General features: G+C 41.0%; 1 long non-coding RNA gene across 1 annotated transcript in view, besides 5 other annotated features; it reads right to left on the bottom strand.

The window, feature by feature from the left end:
- Positions 1-19,240, bottom strand: part of LOC101927690 (uncharacterized) — a 36,979-nt gene extending 17,739 nt beyond the window's left edge. The window contains exon 1 of the long non-coding RNA NR_135241.1: positions 19,054-19,240. This is a non-coding gene — a long non-coding RNA (uncharacterized LOC101927690). The remainder of the gene's footprint in view (positions 1-19,053) is intronic.
- Positions 8,208-8,815: an enhancer, noted in NCBI's record as "OCT4-NANOG-H3K27ac hESC enhancer chr14:56991474-56992081 (GRCh37/hg19 assembly coordinates)". NCBI's record gives its function as "activates a minimal SCP1, AML or CMV promoter by ChIP-STARR-seq in naive H9 embryonic stem cells {active_cell/tissue: H9 hESC(naive)}" and the evidence as "EXISTENCE:reporter gene assay evidence [ECO:0000049][PMID:30033119]".
- Positions 11,095-11,264: an enhancer, noted in NCBI's record as "experimental_34274 CRE fragment used in MPRA reporter constructs". NCBI's record gives its function as "activates a minimal promoter by MPRAs in K562 erythroleukemia cells, with activity observed for the non-introgressed 14:56989110 variant allele {active_cell/tissue: K562}" and the evidence as "EXISTENCE:reporter gene assay evidence [ECO:0000049][PMID:34662402]".
- Positions 15,466-15,635: an enhancer, noted in NCBI's record as "experimental_34268 CRE fragment used in MPRA reporter constructs". NCBI's record gives its function as "activates a minimal promoter by MPRAs in K562 erythroleukemia cells, with activity observed for both the introgressed and non-introgressed 14:56984739 variant alleles {active_cell/tissue: K562}" and the evidence as "EXISTENCE:reporter gene assay evidence [ECO:0000049][PMID:34662402]".
- Positions 18,122-18,291: an enhancer, noted in NCBI's record as "experimental_34259 CRE fragment used in MPRA reporter constructs". NCBI's record gives its function as "activates a minimal promoter by MPRAs in K562 erythroleukemia cells, with activity observed for both the introgressed and non-introgressed 14:56982083 or rs61987831 variant alleles {active_cell/tissue: K562}" and the evidence as "EXISTENCE:reporter gene assay evidence [ECO:0000049][PMID:34662402]".
- Position 18,206: a transcriptional cis regulatory region, noted in NCBI's record as "Neanderthal adaptively introgressed variant 14:56982083 (GRCh37/hg19 assembly coordinates) or rs61987831 in the experimental_34259 CRE". NCBI's record gives its function as "modulates activity of the experimental_34259 enhancer by MPRAs in K562 erythroleukemia cells {active_cell/tissue: K562}" and the evidence as "EXISTENCE:reporter gene assay evidence [ECO:0000049][PMID:34662402]".
- Positions 19,241-21,697: the final 2,457 nt, after the last annotated feature.

Raw genomic sequence — 21,697 nt, 5'->3', positions numbered from 1 at the left:
CATTTTCCTCCCTGGTGAGGCTTCTCCCCACTATGCTTCCGTGTCTTCTGTATAAAGCACCTATTATCAGGGACATAAATCTAAAATTTCTCCAGGCTGAAAAAATGTCAGTAAATAACTGACACGTGAAATGAAACTCTAAAAGTAGATGCATAGCCACCAGTCTGTGGATAGAGAAGCCTTCTGCTTTTATTAGGTGCCAGGCACCAGAGATATCAAAAAACCTCTGTCCTCTGACTCTAATTACTGGTGGGGTTGTGATATAGAAAAATAAGCAAAACCAAAACAAAAAAGATTTTTGGGGTTCAATATTCTGTAGCAGGCATTTACTAAATTATTTTTCCAATCAGAGATAGTTTTCTGTCTAAGATAAATTTCTGTGATAGTTGGAAAAACAAAAGTAAATATATTTTAAAATATATAAATATATTATGTTTACAATAATGGTAATATTTGCATATGTTGTGTATGTACATAACATGGATTTTCTCATTACATCCCTTAAAAATTCTACGTAGTTAACTTGTTTGCATTTTACAATGTTCAGATGAGAAAACTGAGGCCTGAGAGGCTAAATAACTAATTGCTTATGCCGGGATTGACAGCTCCTTTGAAATGAATACAAACATGGTATTCTTTACCCTACAGTGTTATGGAATCCTTTCTCACAAAGTTGGGCTTCAATAAACTATATGCAGTTAAATGCAATTTTTATTTTATTATGGGTTTATAGGTGGACTTTTTCTTTACAGTTACTTTTATCAGTAAAGCAAATCACACATATAAATCTGTTGGGAGCGGCTGATGACTCTGGGCTACCTCTGGCTTACATAGAGTTCACCACTAGCATGGCTGGGTGAATGGACGTGTGCACAACCAGCGCAAAAGAACCTGGGCAGCTTCCTCGTGTGTCCCACTGTTTGTTCTGCCCACAGGTATCTGCCCAAGGCCTCATATCTGAAATGCACGCAGAAAACAGCACCGCGGAAGCAGGTTTTTGCTTTCATGTTTTTAATTAAGTAATTAAGTTACTAAGCAATTAACTAATTAACTAATTGGATCTTGTACCTTTTTTTGACACTATTTATTATTGATTAGGGCCTAGACTGTAGGAAGTTACTTGTAGTTTGTCTTTCAGAAGGCTAGATTCTTTTTAATTATGTTACCTATTTTGGTGTCTTGAATGAGAGAAATAAAAAACTCTACCTTGTTTGGGTTGCTCATAGCTCAAGGGATTGTGGCTGGCAATGTCTCCTGAGCTGAAGGCCCAATTCTACAACAGCCTTCAGGGTGCTTGGTAGGACTTAGTGAGGAATACAAGGGCCTAGCTTTCGGGGGTTACTAGCCTCCAGTAATCTTTCCCTCATGGAAAACATACCTCATTGCAATGTGCGGTTTTCCTTTAATACATTCAATTCAATCTCTCTCTCTGTCCCTGAGGTAGCACCTAGGGGCAAGTGAAGTGGAGAGCAGCTGCCATAAAGGCACCGGGGTAGGAAGGTGCCAGGTTTGTTTGGAGTATGGGAAATAGTTTGCAAGGGGAATCAATGAGAAGATGTAGCTGAAGGTTAAAATGAAATGATAGATTGGGGCTTCATTATGTGTCTTGATTATCAGGCTAAGATATCTGGATATCGGGTAGCAGCAGGGAGCTGTTGGAGGTGTTTAAGACATAAAGTCATCAATGAGCTCTGAGTTTTGGATCACATAGGCAGCAGAGTGGAGGGGGTGGGGAGTCCAGGGCGTCTGGAGGCAGAAAGACCCACTGGAACTCGAGTCTGATAGATCACCTTAGACACAACAAAAACCTGGTTTAGAGATCACACAATATTCATTGTGAGAAACAAACTCACCAATCCAAATCCAAGGAATGGACTCAGAGACCTGAGAACATCGAAAGTGAGACTTTTAATGACGGTCTTGCAAGATCGAGTGTCTGATGGGCAGGCACACCCAGGACAGTTACAACAAGCAATTTATCCCCTAGTGCTCAGGTCCCTCACAGGTTCCGGTTTCTCGTAGGCTGAGTACTATGGGGTCACAATCTTCTTGGACGTCGCCTATTGGTTGTTGGGTTGGGGCTTTAGGTGTTTTCTTTAGGGTTGCCTTGCTGCAACCTAGTCAGCTCAGGGGATTTTAAAGTATTTGACTTACGACCTAAGTAGCTGGGCAGGCTGATAAGAACAGACAAAAGCAAGCTATTTTGCTTGCTTTTTTGCTGGTAAATTTTTATCTTAGACTAAACTTCTTTGGTTCGGGTGAGGGCAACTAAGGGTAGAGGGCCCCACAAGCAGTCCTCAGCTCTCCAAGCAGGGGCCTAGTATATCCTGTTTTTTCTGTAGTTTGCTGACATAAGCCGATTTAAGGCACTTTGTCTTGGAAATGGACCACTATATACATTATTTCCTTCTTTCACAGAGAGGAAAGGACACACATTCAAAAGAGGTTTTGGGGGTGGAATGATTCAGGTCGGGGTAGAGAGACAGTCCACTGATCACTGCATATAGATTAAGGATCAAGAAGAAGGCTCAAGGATAGCCCAGAGTTTCTAGGCCAGACGTGACCATCAGATTTCATCTCAAATGCCAAGAGGATTCTGGGGTGGAGAACTGGCTGGGTGATCCTGCTGCAGGCACAGCAAGAGCAGTGGCAGCACACTGGCAAGGTATTTGTCACCCCATCCATGGAGCAGGCCTTTGTTTTTGAATCAAATTCATGTTAGTGCCTAATAATAATTTGATTGGTCACCATCAGCATGATTGCTGAAGACCAGAAGATGTGGAATAAGATAATACACATCACCTGCAAAACTGACCTAAACCAGCATACATCAGCTGCAAAGCTGACCCAAAAAGTAAGCACCATGAGATACTAAAAATATTAACAAAAAAAGAAAAACTATGGAGAACTACAACTAAACATTTTTGGACAATGTAAACGTAGGAGGGCTAGGAGACAAGCCCAGATTCTTCCAAATATGTTTGAAAAATTGACTATAAAACTCTCTTAAAAAAAGTATAGACACATGCTGATGCTTTGTTTCCTCACCTTGTGGGTGAGGAAGGGAATGCTGCCCTATGGTTCTGGAGAGAGCTGAATACATGACGCTGGACACTCAGTAGGTGAGACTGACAGCAGTTATTAGTCCCATATACTCACACTCAAATACTTAGGGAGGAAGATGCTGCGTGACAGCCAGGGCCATGCAGGGGTTGCACTCAGGAGCAAGGTGAACCAGCAGAGACTGTGGAAGGCTGGTGTTGTAGTAACAAGATGGGGAGATGACTCCTGGTTCTCACGGGAGGATGTAACTGGCTTGTTTGGATAATTCCACAGGCTGGCAGGGAAATGGCTCATTAGGTTGAGAAGCAGGTGGGGAGTGGCTGCTCTGGCTGTCAGGGGAACTAGCTGGGTAGGGAGCCATTCCTACTTTTTTGGGAAGAGAGCAGAGGAAATTGCATTTAAGTTTTGGGAGTCCCCAGGAATCTGAATGATGTCAAGACAGCACAGGACATTTTAATATGTTAGCCACTGGCTACATGTGGCTGTTAAACTCATGAAATGTGGCTAGTCTGAACTGAGATACGCTGCAAGTATAAAATACACACCAGATTTTAAAGACCTAGTATGAAAAAAAGAATGTAAAAAATTTCACGACTTTTTAATCAATTACTTGTTGGAATGATATTTTAGGTATATTTTTCAGTTAAGAAAAATATATTATTGAAATTATTTTTACCTATATATTTTTGTTTAAAAACGTGACTACAGGAAGATTTAAAATTACACATATGGCTCATATTTATGGTTTGCATTATGTTTCTATTGGACAACAATGGCATTGACCTTCCTCTAGAAAAATGGGGAATTCAAAATATTCAGGAACAGTTGGTTAAAATCTTTTTTTTTTTTTTTTTTTTTTTGAGACAGAGTCTCGCTTTGTTGCCAGGCTAGAGTGCAATGGCGCGATCTCGGCTCACTGCAACCTCTGCCTCCCAGGAGAATTCAAGCAATTCTCCTGCCTCAGCTTCCCGAGTAGCTGGGACTACAGGCATGTGCCACCATGCCCAGCTAATTTTTGTATTTTTAGTAGAGACAGTGTTTCACCATGTTGGCCAGGATGGTCTCTATCTCTTGACCTCATGACCCACCCACCTCAGCCTCCCAAAGTGCTGGGATTACAGGTGTGAGCCCTGCACCCAGCCGGTTAAAATCTTTGTAGCATGAAAACCTCCACTTAACTGACCAAGAGAGCTCATTATAGCTACTTATTCTACTTATCACTCCTCAAACAGGCCCCTCACAAACAGGTGGAGTATTTTCCTGGTCCTGACTGAATCTCAGCCTTCATTTACTACATTCCAAATTGGCTTAACTGAAGTTCAGAAAAAGAGATTTCACCGTTAAGTTTTTGAACTGCGTTATGGCAAAGCACCAGAAGGGGCCTCAGGTAGGGCAGGAATCCCGGCAGGAATCCCGTCCCTTTCTTCTGTGATGTGCATAGCAGAAGATGCTCTAAATCTTACACAGGATAAATCTCTAAGCCCCTACAGCTTGACTATGCTGGCCAAAAATATCAGCAGGCTTCAAATAACATGAATTAACAGGTTAAAGAAATGAACAACAAATGATTATTTTGACTACTAAACTGAAGGCCAAATGCATGTAACATTAAACAAATTGGAATTAGCACAGTTTTACACACTCAGAAAAAAACTGACTAAAAAAGGAGTGGCCAGGCAGTGGGAAGCTCAGTGTTTGGAGGCAAAAACTGTGCATCCAAAGAATGTTTCTGTTTTCTCACTGAAATGCTCTATTAGATGCTAATTTTGCCGTTTGCTGGTGTGATAACCACTCAGGAATCAAATGCGGCCACGGGATTTGGTTTCACTATAAACAAAGCAACAACTTGCTCTCCAGGTGTTAGAAACACTGAGCATGCATTAGCCATAAGCAGAGAAATCTCCTAAAGTCAGAGCAGAGGGACACAGTTTTTAGATACTATTTATGGACCATCCTAACTAGGTAAGGGTCTGTAAAGCTGAGCTCAGCCTGTTAGTTTCCACTCCAATATGGCCTTAACACTTTGCCCAGAAGACAGTGCCACCTCAAGGTAAGTTTGGGTCTGCTCTTTAAGTTTCCCCCCCAAAAAGACTCATTTTATTCTGAATAATAATAATCATTATATATTATTAATAATCATCTCCAATTATTACTGTGAGCCAAGCACCGGGCTAGGAGTTATACATATACCAACCAGGCTTTACAGCAAAGCTTCAAAGTTGGTAAAGAGTAGATACACATTTCACACATGAGGAAAATGAAGTTCTGAGACATCATTAGCTTATCATCAGAAGTGACTTTGGCTGAAAATAACAGAAAACCTGACAATTGGTGGCTTAGGGAAGTTGGCCTTTATTTGGCTCACGCAACAAGAGCTCATGAGGAGGCCATCTAGGGTTGCCGTATTGGATCAAAGATCCCAGGGTCCCAGGCTCTTTGTGTCTTTCCACTCTGTGCTTCAGAGTATGTTGGGTTTTGTCCTTGGATTCATCATTGCCATATGGCTGCTACACCTGTAGCAGGAAGACGCAAAGACAGAGTGGCAAAGAAACCTGACAGCTTAGGCTGCTTCTCTTAATTAAAGCTTCCCCACAATCCCATCCAGCATCTCATTGGCCAGAACCTGTCTCATGGCTACTTGTTTTCTGGAAAGGCCAGGAACCAGTATTTTTATCTGGACAAAGAACCCAAAGCAGGATTATTTTAGCAAGGAGCAAAGGGAGAATGATTAGGCAAGTAACTATAGGATCTATCACTTTGGGATGGTTTCATCTTAAAGGCTTTGCAGCCTCCAAAGGACCCTATCTTATTAATCATATTCCCAGTGACTAGCACATAGTAGCCACCCAAGGCACCATGTTGAAATCCCACCAAATAGAGAAGTTTGAGTATCCTCCTATGTAAACACCTTCCTTGTAATTTCCTCTGGATGACAGCAAATGCTGCACAATTGGCTACAGTTCAGTTGCACACCATTAAAGTCTCTGCTTAGGGATACTGAGAAAAAAAAAAAAAAAGGCAGGGATGCTAAGCCTTACTGCTTTGCTAAGTGGTTTTTAAAAGGTTTGGAGACCATTTACATGAAAAGATTTCTCCAACAGCTAGATACAGAAAACAATTCCAAGACTACTCTTGTCTCTCCGTCTATCTAAGCTTTTACTAATATGTTTTTAGCCCCTAAGACCTGCCTCAAATCCTTTGCCTTTAAGCAGCAAGTTATTGGCACTAAGCTTCGCATTTTTGCTAAACTCACATTTTCTCCTTAGGAGACATGGATGCTACTAGATACGGGATATTTTTGTAATTGGAAAACAAATGAGTGATTGGCATGAGCCTGTCTGTATACACATGTGGAGGAAAAGTTTTTTGAGGACAACAGCTGATGAGGTAGACTGCAAACTGCAGAGCTAAGGAAGGAGCCAAGAAGACATCATAAACATGACTTTCTTCTAGGATAGCATCAGGATCCCTCATAAGGAAACCCCTGTGGAGTGAGATTTTCTAGGGAAGTCCCAATTTTCAATATTCTGTCCCGTTGCAGCCCAAATGTTTGATGATGTGTCTGAACTGTCATGTGTGAAATACTTGCCTTTATCTATAAGCTTCTGGCAATCATTTTCTATCACAATGATTTAAACCTCCTTGGATTAAACTTCGGTGAGAGATGCTTAGTTTGGCCATTCCCTCTTCTCTATCTTTTCCTGTTGCTTTTCTGTTCTTTATAATAAGTTTCCAGGGTGAAACTCACATTTCTAGGCCAAGGCACTTGTGTAGTTCAGACCACAGGGCTTGGGTGCGCTCATGAGGCCAGTTTTTAAAATTGGGAAGCTGCTCGGAATTGCTAATGATTAACAAACACACACATGAAGTCCATTTTATCTGAAATAATTGCACCTGATTATAGATATACTCATCAAATGGATGTAGTGATAGCTTTACACTAAAATAAAATGAGCAAAAATTTGAAAAAGAATTGTCTTACTTTTTAAGTGTTTAAACCTTGCAGATACATTTGACTTTTATCATATAAATAGCAAACATTTCATTCAATGCTATAGGCTGCTTGGCTATTCACTAGGACTATCACAGCCATTATAGCAATATAATAGTTGTACTAATGTATGCCCACTGGCCAACTATATTCATTTTTGTGTTTGCTTCTGACCTCATCCAAATGATGTTATTTTAAATTGAAAGATGCCCACTGTTTTAGTTCATTCCTGCTGCTATAACAAAATACCTTAGAATGAGGAATTTATAAATAATAGAAATCAGTTTCTCACAGTTCTGGAGGCTGGAAAGTCCAAAATCAAGGTGCCAGCAGAGTCAGTGTCAGCTAAGAGCTCGCTCTCTGCTTCCAAGATGGCACCTTCTTACTGTGTTCTCAGATGTTCTCGGGTTGAAACAGATGGAACAGCCAGGCAGCTTTTTGATGCCTCTTTTATAAGGGCATTTTCCCATTCACAAGGGCACTTCGGGATGGTCTCATCCCAAAACCCATGCTTACATCTTATGAATTAATCACTTCCCCAAAGGTCCCACCTCTTAATACTATTCCCTTGGGAATTGAGTTTGAATATGAATTTTGGAGGGACAACACCATTCAAGCCATAGCACCTGCCTTGTCTTCATATAGGGCACAGGAAGTGCCATTTGACTTATTTTGCGATAAGCTAATACAATTTTGGTCTTGTTTTTATTTTGTTTCTTTCCCTTCCACCCTTCCCAAAAGCTCTGGCATGAGGGAACTTTAACTAAAATCCGTATTTTAAAAGATACTACAGCGAGTGTGGCTTTTTTTTTTTTTCCAAAGGTCTGCTGAAAATTGCAACAGACAAGACTAAAAAGGGCAGGTAATCAGTGCTTTGTCTCATCTTCTGGCTTGTCAGTTCCAAATTTTCAGTCCAACAAACACCAGTTTGGGGTGCTTTTTTAAGCCAGTACATGGCTGATGGTTTCTGGAAACTCTCTCTAGTCAGAACCACACTATCTCAACACACCCTCATCCATAATCCTGGGGTGGGCTCAAAAGCGACTAGGCTGTGTGAAATGTTTTCATTTCCCATTGACTGGTTGTGTACTTCCCTTGTGTTAATCCCTTGTTAATGGACACTTTCTTTGAGCCAGCTGAGATCGGAGTTGTGTTGTCTTTGTGATTCTAGCAGATTTTATTACTTGGATATCTTTGTTTTCATTATTTTGAGATTTTGGGATTTTGTCTGTTTCATTGATATTGATTCTCTCAGAGATGGCCCAGCCTCCCACTGTTTCTGTTTGTGTTTGATCTACAAACAGTGGGAGGGAATCCTCAGCCTGCAAATGTTTTGGTTCTATGCTTCAACTGAGAAAGGCATGGTAAGAGCCATTAGCAGCTTTCTCAACTGAAAACAGATGAATGTGGCTTTAAACCTAGGTGGGAGACTTGTATTTTGTCATGTAAACTACCTCACGCCATTGTTCTGGGACATTCATTTTACAGGGCAATGTGGAATTTTGAAGAGCCCTGACAATCACTTTCTGTGAAATCCAAAGAAAAATACAATTCCTTATTTTGGTTATTAACTGTGCCTCTTTCTAGCTGTGTGACTTTGGACAAGTCATTTTGCCCCTCTGAGTCTCAGTTTCCTTATCTCTAAAATGAAGATACTAGACCAGATGATCTTCAATCTCATTGATTAAGCCAGGGGAAGAAAGCAAAAATTCCTTAGCTGCTACTATACACTCAGGTATTTAAATATTTTATTTCAATGATGTATAGTTATTTGACTTAGTGACAACCCTGTGGGTAAGTACTATCATCCCATTGTGCAGGTGAAAGAACTGAGTTAAAACATAAGTCTGTGTTCTCACTATATCCATCAATACCGAGATACAGTTCACTATATAACTGCTTCATATGGGGAAATGTACCTTCTCTCCTCATTAAGTTTATGAGCACCTAGAAAGGAAAGGCCACATCTGCCAGACACCTACCCCAGGCTTGGTCTTAAATAAATGCTTGTTGAATTGGGTTACTTAGTAATTTACAGTATGTGAGGATAAGATGCCCTTTTGGCAATGCCCCATGCAAATGGATGATGACCCTGCAAATACACTAGTTGTGTGTGGTTGCATCCAGGTACCAGGCTGACTTCAGATGGCAATTACAAGAACTCTGACGGGCTTCTAGGTGTCTATTGTCTTGTCATCCAACTAACTGCCACAAAGATGCTTCTTTTCACTCAGGATCCCTCTTCAGGTAATGCACCTTTTCACTTATGTATCTGCTAAGAAAGGTTAAAAACTGACTAAACAAAGAAGTAAATTTAAAAAAATGTTTAAGTATCAGCAGTCAAGAGATTTAAAAAGCTGAAACATGGTGAAAATATTTTATAATTGCATAATTAAAGAACTAATCTAAATTGGCTAGGAGTTTTATAATAGTTATAATAAGACTGCTATTTCAGAAGGAAGCATACTTTCAAGCATCCCCCTTTATAATCAAGCAGCAGCCTGGGCTGGACAGCCCTGTCTTTGCAGAGAACCTGAACCTTTTTACTCAGAGGTAGAGGAACTGATGGTCAGGTCCAGGCTAAGAAAAGAGGACTTAGTAACTTGGATCCCTTTCAAACTGATACTGTTTACATTTTTGCTAACTATGTAGGAATGGCTGAAGGCTGAAGAAGGAAAGGCTGGAGAACACCAACTCCTGGTGACAATTCAGTTTTGGCCCCCAACTTTTCATTTTGGCCCAGCAAAACAAAATTCCTGTGATTAAGTGTTTGTGCTTCTTAGAAGACAATTTAGCAGTAGTTCATTGCCCTTCATAGCATGCCCTTTGGGGATGCTTACTTAAAGCTTCATACTTGGCCAGGTGCAGCAGCTAATGCCTGTAATCCCAGCACTTTGGGAGGCTGAGGTGGGCAGATCATAAGGTCAAGAGATCGAGACCATCCTGGCCAACATGGTGTAACCCTATCTCTACTAAAACTACAAAAATTAGCTGGGCATGGTGGCACACACCTGTAGTCCCAGCTATTCAGGAGGCTGAGGCAGGAGAATCATTTGAACCCGGGAGGCGGAGGTTGCAGTGAGCCGAGATCGTGCCACTGCACTCCAACCTGGTGACAAAGCGAGAATCTGTCTCCAAAAAAAAAAAAAAAAAAGCTTCATACTTACAGCTGTTCAATTAAGAATTCCTTCCAACCTGTTGCATATCTTTACCTGAAAAGGGGGTCTAGTTTCTCCATCTCCTAACAGTTCTAGAGACACTTTGGCAGGGTCTTGAGCAGCTGCTTTGCTGAGCCACCCTTTAGTGCAGCTCAGGATAGGATGATGTGGTTTGGTGCTCTTCTGCCCGGACCTACCCTTCCCTGGACTGACTTATCGGGATGCTTGAAGACTCTACCATCAGAATTTCTCAGATGACGGTGTCCTAGAAGTCATTCTCAATCCTGAGGACACATCAGAATCCCTTGAGGAGTTAAAAAAGTCCTCGATGCCCAGGCTGTGCCCCAGGCTAATAAAATATCAGAATCTCTGGGGAGGTGAGACCAAGCAGGCATCATTTTGAAAGCTTCCCCAGGTGATTCCAACATGCAGCTAAGTTTGAGAACCATGGCTTTGGAAGGACTCTGTTAAATTACAAGGCTGTTACCTGGAATTTGCAATATATTTATCTGTTACCACTCGTTGAAAATTATGGCTAATTCATCTGTTTTTCTGCAGAGGTCTGAAGAAACATATTTTTTCCTTTGTAAAAAGAGGGGTAGATTATTTAATAGATGGTGCTGGGAAAACTGGCCAGCCACATGTAGGAGGATGAAACTGGATCCCTATCTCTTTCCTTATTAAAAAAAAACAAAAAACTCAAGATGAGTCAAAGACTTAAATCTAAGACCTGAAACCATGAAAATTCTAGAAAATAACCTTGGAAAAACCCTTCTGGACATTGGCCTAGGCAAATAATTCATGACTAAAGCCCCAAAAGCAAATGCAATAAAAACAAAAATAAATAAATGGCACCTGATTAAACTAAAAATCTTCTGCACAGCAAAAGAAATAATCATCAGAGTAAACAGACAACCCACAGAATGGGAAAAAATGTTTGCAAACTATGCATTTGACAAAGGACTAGTATCCAGAATCTACAAGGAACTCAAATCAGCAAGAAAAAAGGACAAATAGGCCAGATACAGTGGCTCACACCTGTAATCCAAGCACTTTGGGAGGCTGAGACAGGTAAATCACCTGAGGTCAGGAGTTCGAGAACAGCAGTGGGCAACATGGTGAAACCCCGCCTCTTCTAAAAATACAACAATTAGCCAGACATGGTGGTGTGTGCCTGTAATCCCAGCTACTCGGCAGGCTGAGGCAGGAGAACCAAAAAAAAAAAAAAGGAAAGAAAGAAAAGAAAGAAAGAAAAGAAAGGAAAGGAAAGGAAAGAAAGGAAAGAGAAAACGAAACCAAATAATTCCATCAAAAAGTGGGCAAATGGCAGGAATAGACATTTCTCAAAAGAAGATAACAAATGGCCTACAAACATGTAAAAATGCACAACATCACTAATGATCAGGGAAATGCAAATTCAAAACGCAATAAGATACCACCTTACTTCTACAAGAATGACCATTATGTAAAAGTCAAAAAACAATAGATGTTGGTGTGGATGTGGTAAAAAGGGAATGGGTATACATTGCTGGTGGGAATATAAATTAGTACAACCTCTATGGAAAACAGTATAGAGATTCCTTAAAGAACTAAAAGTAGATCTACCATTCAATCAAGCAATCCCACTATTAGATATCTACCCAAAAGAAGTCATTACATGAAGACACATGCACATGTCTGTTTATTGAGCACAATTCATAATTGCAAAGACATGGAACCAACCTAAATGCCCATCAACCAATGAGTGGATTAAGAATATACGGTATATATACACCATGGAATACTACTCAGTCATAAAAAGGAACAAAGTAATGTCTTTTGCAGCAACTTAGATGGAGCTGGAGGTCATTATTCTAAGTGAAGTAACTCATGAATGGAAAACCAGATACCGTATGTTCTCACTTACAGGTAGGAGCTAAGCTATAGGTATGAAAGGCATACAGAGTGATAAAATGGACTTTGGAGAGTTAGAAGGGGGAGGGTCAGAGGAGATGTGGGACAAAAAACTACATATTGGGTATAACATACACTACTTGGGTGCATTAGAATTTTAGAAGTCACCACTATATAATTGAACCATGTAACCAAAAACCACTTGTTCCCCAAAAGCTGTTGAAATAATATATGTATAACATATATAAATAACGTAACACATATGTATGTATGAAACATAATGTATTTGGTTTTCCATTCCTGAGTTACTTCACTTAGAATAATGGCCTCCAGCTCCACCTAAGTTGGAGATATATATATATATGTATGTGTATGTGTGTACACACACACACACAAACACACACACACACACTCTTTTAAGAGCATACAAAGGAGCGTTAGAAGCCAGGGTGGAGGTAGCCACTTAGAGCCTTGAAGTTGTAGTGATGTCTGCTCTCTGAAGATGAATGTGTGGCTGACTCTGCCCTGTAGAAGCAACTACGGAAAAGCTGCCTTGTGGAGGGCAAGGACAGAAACAGGAGACTGGGACAAGGGGCAGAAGAGGGCTCTGAGTCACAGTTTCCATCTAGAACCCTCATTGGAGAGCAGAGACCTCAGCATGGCCCATATCATCCCAGCTTCCCCACGAGGAGCTCAACCCTTCCTTTGATGGAAGAAGCTGCCCATTGTCCTATTTGAAGGCCTTTCCATTCCTCTGCTCTGCCCTGCCCTGCCCTGTCTGCATCACATTCTCCTCCAACGTATTAACTTGGTCTTTCATTTATTAAACTTTTATTGAATATCTATAATATACTAGGCTGTCTACTGGGTCCTATAGTGGTGATTTCCTTACTAAAATGTGCATTAGAATTAGCTGCAAAATATGTTTACAAAAGTGTATTTCTACCCCAGTTCCTTATTAAAAATGAAGACTTCCAGCACTCACTCTCATACATTTGATTCAGTAGAGCTGGCTATGGGTGGGAATCTGTGTTTTTAAACATGGCCCCCATACAATTCTGATGCAGGTGGTCTGAGAACTCCAATCTGAGATGCTGTTCCAGGGGTTATATATAGAGAAGAGTCAGATGGAGTCCTTGACCTCAAGGAGAAAGACAACAACACGTTGTAACAGAGCGGCAGGAGCCACAGTGCAGGATCAAAGCGTGTGGTGCTCCAGCCTGGGATTCAATAGGAACTGGTCTAGCCCGTGCTCCACTCACCACTCTTGTACTCTCTCATCTTCACTAGAAATGTGCCAAATAGACCAGTCACAGCCTTGACAGAGGGGTACCCTAATACTAGAGTAAGATCCATAGCACATGACTTGTTCCCCAACTAGTCACATCTGGGAAGTTTGGTGCTTGGTTTCTTCTGCCATATCCCTTCTTGTCTATCTGGAAAATTCCATCAACTGTATAACATTTAATTAAATATGTCACCCTCTGGGCAAAGTCTTGATCCTTCTAAAGCCCAGTTGGTGTATCCCTTGGGCTCTCATGACAGTGTGCGCTTGCCTCTATTTGCTTGTCTCATGCTGTATGTCTCACTGCAGCCCCTAGATCAGGCAGTGCCTGCCAATCTCAGTATCACCAGTGCTTCACTGGGGGCAGGCATATGGCAGATGCTCAATCAGTCTTTATCGAATGGATTCCTAAAGGCAAGAAGAGGCAGCCAGTGAACTTCTTCACATAATAGGAACATCCTGAACAGTCAGAGTGCGATGAGAAGACACTTTCCCTTCTCTAGCATACCATGCATGATTTTCCCCACACTCCAAGAATGGTGGGGAACAATGGAATATGAGCTTCCTGCTATGAGGAACTCTGCATCCAGCAAGCTGATGAATGCCCTTTGTCCAGAGCTCACAGTCCCAAAGACATCTGGGGCAAAGGCAGAGCAAAGAATTCATGTGTAACAGATAGAAATATCTCAGATAGTGCTTCCTGCATACAAGGCCCTATGCTAAGCACTTACACTAGCAACTGACACATTGTCTCCATTTAATGATGAGGGAACTGAGGTACAGAGCGCTCAGTTAACTTACCCAAGAATGTAAGTGGCAGCACTGTGATTCAAACTCAGGCAGTCTGGCTCCAGAGCCCATGTTCTTAATCATTGTGCTCTAGTGGTTCTCTATAATACTGGAAAGCATTCATTTTACGGCAGAAGAAGTGGGGGAGAAGGTCATCATCATGCAAGACTCACTGATTTCATTGTATTAGGTTTTTGTATCACTCAAAATCATTTAATCCCATTTGCCAATCCAGTGCAGCCATGACTCATCATCGTCTTCAGGTATTTAATGCTACCCCCAAATCTATATTAATTCACTAAGTTGGGACTTTTAGAATTCAACATTTTTGCTTACCTCTTCAATTGCTGCATGAGAAAGCAAATTGACCATGCAGAATCCTTTCCATTACTTGGTGTGATTTTATAAAATAAATTATTTTAGTTATTTAAGCTTAAATAATTTTCAGTGGTAATTGCTTAATGCTGTCCACCAAGCTTACTTTTTCCTACTCCTTTCATTGCTTCAAGGTACTCATTGAAGAGGATTTAAAATTATTGCTTAGAACGCTCTTTCCCTTAACCAAGAGTAAAGGGCATTATATATCCAACAGACTACCTCACCTTTTCCACTTAACTTTTCAGAAAAGTTGCCCCGTGCTTAACATTTGCAAGCCGCAGAACAAAGGGAGAAGCTTAGATATTGATGGTGTCTTTGGGAATCAATGCAAGAGAGCTCAGGGGAAACTGGCAGAGGCACAACACCGGAGGAAAAAGCCTTAGGAAAGTCAGAAAAGAGATGTTCTTCCTAAATTAGCCATGTCTGGCAGTGGAATAGGGACAGGGGCAATGGAAAATACCTGGATGGGTGGCCTAATGCCAGAGTCTGCAGCAGACAGCTGCTCCCACCCACTGCCCAAACCGTGGGCATTCTCTTGCATCAACAACCAAAAATCAGAGATGGGAGCCTTTGCATTTGTCAGGAATCGTGCACTAACGCTGATGAATTTCTTTTGTGATGAGTTAAGGAAGGAAGGAAGAAACGAGAAAGAGGGAGGAAGAAAGGAAGGAGGAATACCCAACATAGAAAAAACAAACACCAGCACTCAAAGGTGGCAGAAAGAAATGGCAACCTGCCTAGATTCTACATTTAATCACTTGACTTCTATACTTTTTCAACAAATAGATGGCAATTTATATTACTTTCTTTTCATTTTTCGGGTTGAAAAATAAGAGACCATTGATTTCTTGTCTAGAAAACTTCTGGGAATAGAGTGGTAGGACACAGATGGTTTGGGACTCCCCTGCGAAGCACAGTAAGATAAAACTTGCCAAAGCTTTCTAAACTTGCCTCCTTGAAGCAGACAAAACATTTCATGGCTGGTGGGAAGATGGTGGTGGCGACAGGAGCATAAGTACTTTACAAACAAAATTCTAGTGCAGAAATTACAGGCTGAATCTCTCCAAGGATCCATCCACCCCGATATGTATGTAGTCTCATAATATCTTCAAGGGAACTTGGAAGGTATAAGTATAAAAGTTGCCTTCTCTAAAATTGTTCTCATAGATTAGGAATGCTTCCCTGGGACAAGAATGCTATTTACCTCCAATATTCTTTTTTTTTTTTAATTAAAAAAAATCTTAATTTTTAGCTAGACATGTCGTCTAGTCAAAAGAATTTGCTCTTCAATCTCCCCTGAAGTTAGGCATAGCCAAATGATTACAGTCTGGCCAATGATATATAAAAAGACATGTTGTGTGCAACTTTTGGGAAGTGCCCTCAAAGGGAGAGGGTGCACTCTTCTTTTCTTGGACATGATGCCTGGGAATTGAGCAGCCACTGTGGAACACAACACAAATGATGGCAGGGCAGCAAGCTAGCATATCTAGTCCCTGATGACCATGGAGCGCTGTATCAGCCCTGGATTGCCTTCCCTTGACTTATTTTTTTTTAAATAAATGTTATAGTGCGTATTTGAGATTTACAACATGATGTTATGGTCTTGACTACTATTATGTGTGAAAGAAAAATACTTTCATCTCGTTTAAGCCTTTGTTTGTTTAGTCCATGCTATTGCATGCAGCCAAAGCTAATCTTAACAGATAGAGCTCCTTTTTGTAGTTCATTACAGTTCTGTTATCTATTAAGTTACTAAAATTTTTTTAGGCGAGAAAAGCTGCGACAGATTTTCTCAGAGACCTAGAACTTAGAAACTTATTGATATACTGAGATATAGTTAATAGCCCCCCTTTTGTACAAAAACCTATAAAACAACAACAAAACACACTTAAATTGGATGGCCAAAGAAATAAGGCATAAAAAATGAGAAAAAGCCTAAGTAAAAGAAGTTTCCTGAGGAGGAAAATGATTTGACAGTTTCGAATTCTTCTTTCTCCTCTCAGAAGTTCTCTAAAACACAAACCCAGACTGACTTTCTGATGCTTGATAATAAACATGGCACATTAACTCACCTTCAGGTTCTCAGCAATCGCTTGTGCTGGTACTAATTCTCTTATTTCATGACTTAAAAAACCAATTCAAGGCAGCAGCCATTTCCTATTTCACTAAGTGGATTGAAGCCCTCAGCTGGTGCATATCACACTGTAAGACATGTGAAAAACTGATACCCACAACATAAATCACCATTCCTTTCTCTCCTGAGACGAGGAACATGATCCAATATCTACATAAGGGCTGTCAGAAACATACCAGTTCAGTGCAAGAAAAATAATCTAACACCGCTTCCCAGACACAAAATGTTATTGTTCAAAACATTTTTTAAAAGCACTTTACACCTTTCTCCAAGCAGTTAACTAAAAGCAGTTAGCTAATTAACTGGCTAGTCCCCAACAGTGGACTCTTCAAAAGAAATCCAACACAATTGTCAACATCGTTGACATTTCTTTAGAAAGATGATTTGTGTATAGGATATAATTTTCCAGCAGAGTCTTGGGGTCGGTCAACAGGATCGGTGAAACCTGGTTTACTCCTCTATAAGGCAAAGGGCATTTCATTCTGATCATGAGTAAGTAGTTCTAGTGTTGGAAATAACAAGGGTGCTTTGGATGACTTATGCCATTTTGTGAGAATAAAAGTAGACTTGGGCTTAGATCCAGCAGGAAGTTAAAAAAAATAGCAGCTAATGTTTGGTTTTAAATTTGTGCTTATCTATTTTTCTAGATCAGTCATGGTGAATATATGGCACTTTATTCACTCTGCTTCCCTTGAACGCCCCTGGAAAACATTGTTCATCTGGACTCCTGCTTACTGAGTCCAGATGTAATTTCAGGATACTTCTCAACACAGCATGCTAATTACTTACTACCAAGCGATTGGCTTTGACATGTAAATTAATATTGGTTAGCTCTGCTCCCATGCTTGAAAGTTTGGTGAAAGTTATTTTATCCAATGCAATTGGGCAGTGACTCAAGGCCTTACTGTGGCATATGACTCTGCTGAAGCTCCAGTCATCGCACTGGCTTAAAACAGGGCCATATTACCTCATGCATGATTTCCACTTTCAGTCTCTTTCAAGTGAAGTAAAAACCTAAAGACACCTGTAAAGCAACCTAAGTTCAGAATCCTTTTGAAGTTTTTTATGATTTTCCCACAAGCTTTAACTTTACTTTGTCCATACCTAGTACATCTGCAATATTTTTTTAGGGCTCACCTTTATCAGGTTTTACAAAGGTATTCAACTTGGTTTTCATAAAAACAACTCTTTGTCTTTGTGAGCTCACATTTCATCAGCTTATGTAATATTTAATAAAATTGCATAATTAAAACAACCAGGTGTGAACAGGTTTGGGAACTGTATTAGTCCATTCTCACACTGCTAATAAAGATATACCCAAGACTAGGTAATTTATAAAGGAAAGAGTTGAATTGACTCACAGCTCAGCATGGCTCAGGAGGTCTCAGGAAACGTACAATCATGGTGTAAGGGGAAGCAAACATGTCCTTCTTCACACAGTGGCAGCAAAGAGAAGTGCAGAGTGAAGCAGGGGATGGGGGAGAGGGGAAAAGCCCCTTATAAAACCATCATATCTCGTGAGAACTCGCTGACGATCACGAGAACAGCATGAGGGTAACGGCCCTCATGATTCAATTACCTCCCGCTGGGGCCCTCCCACGGCACATGGACATTACGGGAACTACAGTTCAAGATGAGATTTAGGTGGGGACACAGCCAAACCTAGCTGAATCTCAGGAGGCATACAGCAAACGAGGGGGAGCAGAACGCATGAGCACAGGCACTGATGCTGAGCTTTCAGCTTGCCGGACCCTCAATCGAAAATGTTCTACAGCTGGAAGGGAGTGTGGGTGGATGGATCCTCTGAGTCAGTTAAATGGAGGTCAGCTGGAGATGCCACTGCCAGGCAGAAGCTGCTAATTCTCACCACAGATAATACTATGAGTCATGAATGTGATGACATCATGAATGTAAGAATAAGCGTCATTGCTTTTTTTTTGCTTTTTGTAAAATTGTGGTAAAATGTTTATCATAAAAGTTACAATTTTAACCCTTTTTGAGGGTGTGACCCAGTGGCATTAAGTACAGTCACATTGCTGTGTAACCATCACCACTATCCATCTCTAGAACTTTCTCATCATCCCAAACTGATATTCTATCCCTCTTAAATGCTAACTCCCCATCCCCTCCTCCCACCAGCCCCTGGCAACCAACATTCTACTTTTTATCTCTATGAATTTGGTGATCCCGGGAACCTCATACAGGTGCAACATATATCTATCCTTTTGTGTCTGACTTATTTCACTGAGCATCGTGTCTTCAAGGTTTATTCATGTTGTCTCACTGGCTTTTAGATGGCTTTCCCTAGACACTTTCCTCCTCAGACCATACCATCATAGCCCTGAGTCTGCCATATACTCACGTGGTTGCCTTTCTTCCTTTAGCCTCCTGGACAGTGGCAATCATCAGCCCCCCAAGTGTGAGTGCCGGTGCCTTTCTTGGAGCTGAAAGCCTTCCATGGCGGGCGTTTCATGAAGACCACCCCACAGGTCCCCAGACACAGTTTGCGGGCCTCATTTCGTCCTTCCCAAGGTTCCAGGATTTTCCAATGCCTATTAAATCTTCTGTAACAATCCATTCAAATACACAAGTTTGGCTATTCAAATTACTTTTTCCAAAAGTACTTTAAAATGCATTAAGTTATTAATTGCCTGCTGGCACTTTAATCAAATGGGAAAATTGACATAGCCAGAGGCATGTATTTTTGTGGAAAGAAAATTTATTTAAGAAGAAACAGCAGCTCTTACTGCTTAATTTAAACTGAGAAAACTGTGGAAAATCAACTGCTATGGAAAATTAATAAAACATTTCCAGCTGCAAACAGTGACTAATTGTACAAGATGAAGACTGCCCGGAATTAATAACTTGCAGTCTTCTGTGTGAAGAACCCCCCACCACTTCAATTTACTGGGAGATTAAATTACTTCTAAGTTTGCCATATTAAAACAGAACATGAATAAAATGTTAGTGAACGCACATCTATTATTTACTGTCTGTGATATGGATATAATTATTTCCAAACAACTACAATGTGACGTGACCAGTAATATTTAAATGACTCTTTTAGCAAGAGAATCTACTGCAACATTTTTTTGCATGAAGAAAAAAATTCTTCTTTTACTTCTAAAGTAATAAAATGATGCATAGTGGAGTTCTACAAATGGTGTGTCCCTGTCCCCAGTGGACTGAAATGTGCTCAGTGTCCCAGCTTATACCTTTTCTTCTCTGAATCAAGTATTGCTTTAGGGAAGCATGTGCAGAAGGAAATCTTAGCTACTCCTTCATGAGCCATGACCTTAAATGGAAGCTGATCCCACTGCCCACAGGAAACCACGGTAGATGCTTAAAGGCTTCTCCTGGTGCCTGGTATGACCATGAGCACATGTGCCTAACAGGAGGTGCCTTAATGGGAGGCAGAAGGGAGGGCCAGACTTTTTCCCAAGGAAATAGGACTTATACACAGGGGATATACATCATCACAAGCCCCCTCAGCCTTATGTCTCCAAGTTTGCTCAAGACATTGCATTGTCTCATACGCCCTGGTTTCCTTGGCAATAACACGAACATTCAATAACATAAACAAATCGTGTTACTTTTCTGTCTTTGCTGCCAAGATGGGATTATTCTCTTGCCCCGGAAAGCCACCAGGAAGGTCTGTCCATTTTCCTAGTGCACTCAAACTCTCTGAGACCCTGAGAAGCAAGATGTTATAAGAGGACATCCGGCCGGGTGATGTGGCTCACGCCCGTAATCCCAGCACTTTGGGAGGCCGAAGCGGATGGATCACGAGGTCAGGAGATCGAGACCATCCTGGCTAATGCGGTGAAACCCTGTCTCTACTAAAAATACAAAAAAAAAAGGTCTGTTCAAGAGTGAGACATAAGAAAAAGAAATTCAGAAAACTAAGAGCTCTGTTTGCTCAGGGTGATGGGATGTTTTAGGTTTGTTTAGTTTTTGTTTGTTTGTAAAATTTTAAGAATTAGAAAATAACTCCAGAAATCAAGAGGAAATGAGCTATTTTGATTGATGTGTTTGTAGAGGAGAGATATCAAAGATGGAGATTTTCTCAGCAGAGAGGCACTGCCTCCTTCGGCTGTTTATCCTTTAATGCACACACAGAGGGTACATTCAGCCTCTTGCTATTTGATATTGCTGGCAGGAAGGTCCGAGTATTGGCCTAGAGAGAATAAAAGGCATGTTGTTTAAAAATGCAGAGGCTTAACCTGAAGCATAACTGGTTTGGGGCTTACCACAGAAGTTATCTGGACATATCATTTGATTTCCAGGTTTTAAATGTAATTCTAAACAAGATCTGGCCACACAGCCTTCCACTGTGTGACACAGAGCGACTTTATCTGCCACCAAATGCCATTCAGGCTTAATGCTGTAGAAATGAATTGTATAAATTGGGGCATTCTTTGAGGCCCTAAAGCATTAGTGCCTCTCAGAGGAGGAAAGATGAAGCCTGCTACCTCCTCCCCGTCACTCAGGGAAGAAACCTGTTAGGTTGTTCCTCTCTGTTTGGGTTCATTTTGGTTTTCCTTTTTTAGAAACACTTAAGGCTTGCTTTAGCGAGCCGAGCCTTATCCACAGGCCACATGGGCAGCTGCAGATACCGCTGGATTTGAGGAGTCATTGGGAAGATTCCTTGACCTGGAAAGCCTCTCCTTCCTGCTGCAAATGCAAGACATCCTCGCAAAGTGGGAGACAGCGTGTCTTACATCTCATTTTGCAATAAGGCTCACAGTGCAAATACATAACAGGAAATGAAGTGATTTGGGCTTTGCTAGAGGTGGTGTCAAGCAGGATTTGAACCAACGATCAGTAGACCTTGAAGGGAAAAGGACAGTGGAAAATGGCATTTGAAGAGAATGGGGAGATAGATCCCAAGGTCAGAGTGCCTTGGTCTAGATCAGCCCACATTGGTGAACCGACCTGTCCTCTCCCCTTCACACATCACTTCACATATGGAGTTTGTCCCAGCCTTGAATTGAAAGTGGACATTT

Source organism: Homo sapiens, chromosome 14 (genome assembly GCF_000001405.40).
Source record: "Homo sapiens chromosome 14, GRCh38.p14 Primary Assembly".
Classification (NCBI taxonomy): domain Eukaryota; kingdom Metazoa; phylum Chordata; class Mammalia; order Primates; family Hominidae; genus Homo; species Homo sapiens.
Note: the sequence above shows the minus strand (reverse complement) of the source record. Positions and strands in the feature narration are given on the sequence as shown.